General features: G+C 45.5%; 1 annotated feature.

The window, feature by feature from the left end:
- Positions 6013–6801: an enhancer, noted in NCBI's record as "OCT4-NANOG-H3K27ac-H3K4me1 hESC enhancer chr12:69509413-69510201 (GRCh37/hg19 assembly coordinates)". NCBI's record gives its function as "activates a minimal SCP1, AML or CMV promoter by ChIP-STARR-seq in naive and primed H9 embryonic stem cells {active_cell/tissue: H9 hESC(naive and primed)}" and the evidence as "EXISTENCE:reporter gene assay evidence [ECO:0000049][PMID:30033119]".

Below are 7021 nucleotides of genomic sequence, written 5' to 3'. Positions count from 1 at the left end.
AGTGGCGTAATCATGGCTCACTGCAGCCTTGATTTCGTGGGCTCAGGTGATTCTCCTACCTCAGTCTCCTGAGTATCTGGGACTACAGGTGTCTGCCACCATGCCCAGCTAATTTTTTGTATTTTTTTGTAGAGATGGGGTTTCACCATGTTACTTAGGCTGGTCTTAAACTTCTGGGCTCAAGCAATCCACCTGCCTGGGCCTCACAAAATACTGTGATTACAGTTGTGAGCCACTGTGCCTGGCTGAAAGTATTTGATTGTTTTCTTTTCTGTCTTTTCTTTTTTTTGAGATGGAGTTTCGCTGTTTTTGTCCAGGCTAGAGTGCAATGGTGCAATCTCAGCTCACTGCAACCTCTGCCTTCCTGGTTCAAGTGATTCTCCTGCCTCAGCCTCCCGAGTAGCTGGGATTACAGGCACAAGCCACCACACCTGGCTAATTTTGTATTTTTAGTAGAGATGGGGTTTCACCATGTTGGCCAGGCTGGTCTTGAACTCCCAACCTCAGGTGATCTACCCACCTTGGCCTCCCAAAGTGCTGGGATTACAGGTGTGAGCCACCGCACCCGGCCTATTTGATTATTTTCTAACCAATTTAGCTCACAAATCTAGTAGCCCTTTCACCATTCTCTCTAAGGATTAATAAACAAAAGGTTGCTTTACATTTCCAAACTTGTTTCATTGCCTTTCCTCTCCATGCTCTAGCCCCTAGTGTATATTTGTGCTACTGCTGATAAAAGCTCATTTCTGAGTTAATTCACACAGGGGTCCAACGGTTTTTATTGTTGACAATATACAGGATGGAACCCTTTGATCAGCCATCTTTTAGGCTAAATTAATTTTATTAACCTTGGAATATGTGGAATTGGTATTCTTTTAAGAATGTGATTGGAAGCCAGGCATCATGGCTGAAGCCTGTAATCCCAGCACTTTGGGAGGCTGAGTGGGGTGGATCGCTTGAGCCCAGGAGTTTGAGACCAGCCTGGACAACATGGTGAAACTCTGTCTCTACTAAAAATACAGAAAATTAGGTAGGCATGGTGCTGCATGCCTGCAGCCCCAGCTACTCGGGAGGATCACCTGAGCCTGGGAGATTGAGGCTATAGTGAGCCGTTATCATTCTACTGCACTCCAGCCTGGGAAACAGAGTGAGACCCTGTCTCTCTTTTTTTTTTTTCTTTTAGACAGAGTTTCACTCTTGTTGCCCAGGCTGGAGTGCAACGGCGTGATCTTGGCTCATTGCAACCTTGGCTCCTGGGTTCAAGTGAGTCTCCTGCCTCAGCCTCCCAAGTAGCTGGGATTATAGGCATGTGCCATCACGCCCGGCTAATTTTGTATTTTTAGTAGAGAGGGGGTTTCTCCACGTTAATCAGGCTGGTCTTGTACTCCTGACCTCAGGTGATCCACCCGCCTTGGTCTCCCAAAGTGCTGGGATAACAGGCTTGAGCCACCACGCCCGGCCAGGACCCAGTCTTGACAAAAAAAAAAAAAAAAAAAGAAGAATGTGATTGGATTCGTATAATAAACCATGTTAGCAGGATATAAATAGTTAAAAGACGAACTGTAAATTGGGGAAAATAATTATATGTTGCACTGACAGTGCAAAGGGTTGTTCTGAGGATTTATTTATCCAATCAGTCTTCATGCATTCACAAATGCAACAAAAATTCATGGAGCACTCTTACATGTTGAATTGTGTACCACCAAAATTCATATGTTGAAGTCCTAACCCCTAATATCTCAGAATAGCATCTTATTTTGGGATAGCATCTTTACAGAAGTAATCAAGTTAAAGTAAAATCATTAGGGCTGGGCCGTAACCCAGTATGACTGGTGTCCTCGTGAAAAGGGGAAATTTGGACAGAGAGATACAATAACAGGAAGACAAATGACAGATGAAAGGAAAAGATGGCCATTTGCAAGCTGAGAGAGGCCTGGAATAGATCCTTCCCTCTAGCCCTCAGAAGGAATCCACCCAGCTGACGCCTTGATTTTGAACATCTAGTCCCCGGAATTGTGAGACAAATTTGTTGTTTAAGCCACTTAGTCTGAGATACTCTGTTACGACAGCCCTAGCTAACTAATACAAGCACCTACTGTGTGCCAGACACTGTCTTAGGTGCTAGAGATGTGGCAATGAACAAAACTGACAGCGTCTGCCTTTTTGGGGCTCACATTCCAGTGTCATAACAATAAACAAGGACATAAATAGATACAATAAATGTCAAGTCATGGTATGTGCTATGAGGCAATATAAAAATATAAAGCTACTTAAGGAGACAGTGATGGAGTGTGTTTGTTAGACTGCGGGGAGGCAGTCTAGGAAAATTTCTCTAAGGAAGTGATATCTGTGCAGAGATCTGAATGATGTGAGGAAGCAAATTATGTGGCTATCTGGGAAAAGAGATTTCTGGCAAGGAAGACAGCAAGTGCAAAGGCCCTGAGGCAGGCATGCGTTTGGCACGTTCAAGGAGGAGCGGGAACGTTACTGTGTCTGGAGCACAGCAAGAGAAGGGAAGGAGTGGTGGACAATGAGGTCAGACAGGAAGGCCAGAGACAGATGCTATAGGGCCAGGCCCAGCACGGGCTTTTGGTTCTTATTCTCAGTGTGATGGAATTCATGCTAAGAAATGGGTGGTGAAAAAGAGAAGAAAAAAACCTGAAGTATGGTGGGAACAGTCAAGGGTTGTTGAGTAGGGGGATGATCTGATCTGATTCCTTTTTAAAGGCTCAGTCTGGCGGCTGTGTGAAGAATTGATGTTAATGAGGCAAAAACGGAAGAAGGCAGACAAGTTATATAGCAAGAGGCTCTTGCAATAATTCAAGGGAGAGGACCTTTGAATTATTGGTGACAAGAGCCAGGTTGGCAATGGGGGGGATGATGAGAAGTGGTAAATCCTGGATCTATTTTATAGTTTGATCTACCTGATTTGCTGATAGATTGGATATGAGATATAAGAGAAAAGAGTCAAGGAGAACCTCAAGGTTTTTGGCTTGAAAAACTATGTGAATCATGTTATTTATTGAGATGGATAATGCTAAAGGAGGAACAACTTTGGGAAAGAAAATTAAGAGCTCTGTCCTGAACATGTTGACTTTGATGTGTCTATTGAACAGCGGAGAGGAGTTTAGGAGAGAGATCTGACCTAGAGATGTAGATTGATGAGTCTTTAGGATATAAATGGTATTTAAAGCCAAGGACCTGGCACCCAGAGAGTGACTGCAGAGAAAAAAGAGGTTTGAAGCCGGAGCCCTGAAGCTCCCCATGTACAGGAATAAAAAAGGGGCGATTCAGAAAAGGAGCTTGAGAGCGAGTGGCCACTGAGAGGGGAGGAGCAAGTTGTCCCAAAAGTCAGGAGTAACAGCATTTCAAGAAGGAGGCAGCGATAAATTCTGTCAGTGGCTGCTCATGGATTAAGTATAATGAGAACTGAGAACTACCCTTTTGTTTGGCACTGGGAAACAATTGGTGACCTCAGGTATGGATTTGGCAAAATGGGGAGTTGACTGCCTCACTGGTGTGGGTTCCAGAGAGAATGGATGGTGAGGAAGGGGAGCTAGCAAGTCTTCAAGTCTTTCAAGGAACTTTTCTAAATGAGGCAGCAGCCAAGAGAAGTGGGCTCTAGGGAGAGTTTTTTTTTTAATGTGTCTGTTTTTTAAGCTGGAAGATATTGTGTTAATGTCATGTGCTTCTGATTTTATGCTGAAGGAAATTATCCAAGAGAAAGAGGAAATGGATGGTGCAGGAGACAGGATTCTTGCAGAGGCTGGTGAGGGGGATGGAATCTGTGCATAAGTGAAGGGTCAGTCCTGGTGTGGTATCCTGGGCTTGCTCATTCGGGATGTTTTTTCCACGATTATAGGAAGAAGGGAGTGCCTATGGGAACAAATGCAGAACAGTGGGGACATGAATGTTTGATATTCTCAGTGAAACAGGATGCAAGGTCATGAGTGGAGGATGAAGAGAGAGGAGGGTGTGCTGAGAGTTTGAGGACAGAGGAGACGGTGTGAAATTGTCCCCTCATGGAGTGGCTGAGTGGATGGACCAGCAATATGTGATGGGTTTGCTGGAGGGGCTGAAGGCTCCCTTGAGGTTTGAGATCCTAACTTTAAAGTGAGCCTAGTGGGCATGGTTGTATGTTTTTCTTCACCTGTGTCTGGCTGTTCAGGTGCAAACCCAAGAGTAGGGAGTGAGTTAGATTTAGCATTTTGGATTGAATTGTGTTCTCCCAAAATTTGTATGTTGAAGCTTTAACCTCCAGTGTGACTGTATTGGGAGGCAGGGCCTTAAAAGATGTAATTAAGGTAAATGACATCGTAAGGGTGGGGCTGTAATCCTATGGGACAGGACCTTATGAGAAGAGGAAGAAACACCAGAGAGCTCTCTCTTCCTGTGAGCATGCAGAAGAAAGGCCCCGTGAGGACACAGTGCAACGGTGGCACTTTGCAAACCAAGGAAAGAGGCCTCACCAGAAACCAAACCTGCTCACACCTTGATCTTAGACTTCCAACCTCCAGCATGGAGAGATAACAAATTTCTGTTGTTTAAGCCTTCCAGTCTGTGATATTTGGTTACAGCAGCCCTAACAAACTAATACAACCAGGAATGAAGTTTTACCAGGAAAATGTCACAGAAGAAGATGAAACAAGGAGTGATCATAAGGGTAGATGAAATGAGAATATGGAAAATGCTAAGCCTGGAACGTGGCAGTTGCTTAACCAATTGCAGCTACTGCCAGCTACCTTCCAAGGGCCTGCTGTGCTTCTGTTCCCACTGTGACAGGTGCTGTGCCAGGAAATCAGCGGTGTAAGCAGCAAGGTGCTTGCCCTCAAGGAGCTCACAGTCCAGTGAAGACAGAACAGAGCCTGTCAATACAACACACTCAGAACTGTCATAAGAAACCACTAGCATTCCGACCAAGAGAAAATGGCACAGAGGAGGTGACGCTGGAGCGGAGCACAGAAGAGGGAACAGAGGGCTCAGAGGAAGGCAGGACTCATTGAGAGAGCAAAGCAAGTATGGAAGCCTTAGCGCAGTGGGTAGGGTGGAGGGTGGTGGTGAGGAGCGAGTGAGGAGCGAGTGAGGAGGCAACTAGCAACCAGAATGTCAAAAGCCTGGGGTTGGTCATGCAGCATGCAGTAAGCAGGAGTGACATCATTAGATATTTTTTAAAAGAGACAAAATTCAGACAGCACTGTAGAAGATAAATCAGAACAAGAAAACCACTTTAAGAAGCATTTGCAATGGTCCAGTGAGGCCTGAACTGAAGATGGCACAGGGAGGCTTCTGAGGGAACAATCTGTGGGAGAGAATTCAAGGTTTTGTGGCCACGAAGAGGGGGATGTATAGAAGAGGCGAGGTGTAACAATGACTCCTAATTTTCTGGCTTGGATGACTGGATATACCATAATGCTACTTATCAGTAGGGATTAATCAGCAAAAAATTGGGTGAAAACTTGCTGCTGTTAGGCCAAGGGTGGTGGCTTATGCGTGTAATTCCAGCACTTTGGGAGGCTGAAAGTGGTGGATCACCTGAGGTCAGGAGTTCAAGACCAGCCTGACCAATATGGTGAAACCCCATCTCTACTAAAAATACAAGAATTAGCCAGGCATGGTGGCGTGCATCTGTAGTCCCAGCTACTCTGGAGGCTGAGACAGGAGAATTGCTTGAACCCAGGAGACAGAAGTTGCAGTGAGCCGAGATCACGCCACTGCACTCCAGCCTGAGCTACAGAGTGAGACTTCATTACAGAAAAAAAAAAAAAAAAGAAAGAAAGAAAAATTATTTTAGGCAGATAGAGAGGAAAAGGGGTCCTTGGGAAGTTTTCGTTTCTTTTAAAGCGGCCAAGATCAAGATGCGGCCAGGCGCGATGGCTCACACCTGTAATCCCAGCACTTTGGGAAGCCGAGGCGGGCGGATCATCTGAGATCAGGAATTCCAGACCAGCCTGACCAACAGGATGAAACCCTCTCTCTACTAAAAATACAAAATTAGCTGGGTGTGGTGGCACATGCCTGTAATCTCAGCTACTTGGGAGGCTGAGGCAGGAGAATCGCTTGAACCCGGGAGGTGGAGGTTGCAGTGAGCCGAGATCACGCCATTGCACTCCAGCCTGGGCAACAAGAGCGAAACTCCGTTTCAAAAAAAAAAGAAAGAAAGAAAAGGCGGCCTAGAGACGTTCTTGTCTAGCAGGAAAGCCCCAGGCCTTAGAGTCAGGCCGGCAACCTTTGATATGCTAATACAAACCATCAGAAACTGGGTCCACCCAATCATAGAGATTTCCTCCCTCTTCTCCTTGCCCTTGCTCCCACATGCTCCTGGCAACATGGCCGCCCCCACTTATCCCCATGTATGTAGAACATCATGACTCTCTGTATTTTCATATTAAAAGGCTAGGGTGGGAGAGCCAGTTTTTTCCGGGGCTGCATAGGTGACATGCCTGGTCAAACCAATCCCCTGAGCCCTATGCAAATCAGACACCACTCCTCCAGCCTCCTCATATAAGCAGCCACTTTTCTCTCTCGGCTTTGGAGCCCCCCTCCCTCTGTCTCTGTACAGGGGAGCTTATTTCTTTTCCCTTTTTCTTGCCTATTAAACTCTCCACTCCTTAAAACCACTCCACATGTGTCCGTGTCGTTTTATTCAGTTTGGCATGAGACAAGAGCCCTGGTGTTCCTTCACTCATCCGAACAGTATCAATTGTACATATTTATGGAGTACAGTGTGATATTTATATATATATATGTATACAATGTGTAATGATCAAATCAGGGTGATTAGCATATTAATTATCTCAAACATTTATCATTTCTTTGTGTTGGGAACATTCAAAATCCACTCTTCCAGCTATTGGAAAAGATACAATATTGTTATTAATGATGGTCCCCCTGTAGGGCTGTAGAACACCAGCACTTACCTCTCCTATCTGGCTCTACGCTTGCATCCATTGACCAACCTTTGCTCTCCTCCCCCCAACTAGCCTTCCCAGCCTGTACTTCCCAGCCTGTAGTAACCACTATT

Source organism: Homo sapiens, chromosome 12 (genome assembly GCF_000001405.40).
Source record: "Homo sapiens chromosome 12, GRCh38.p14 Primary Assembly".
In the NCBI taxonomy this organism is placed as follows: Eukaryota; Metazoa; Chordata; class Mammalia; order Primates; family Hominidae; genus Homo; species Homo sapiens.
This window is presented reverse-complemented; position numbering and strand designations above follow the sequence as displayed.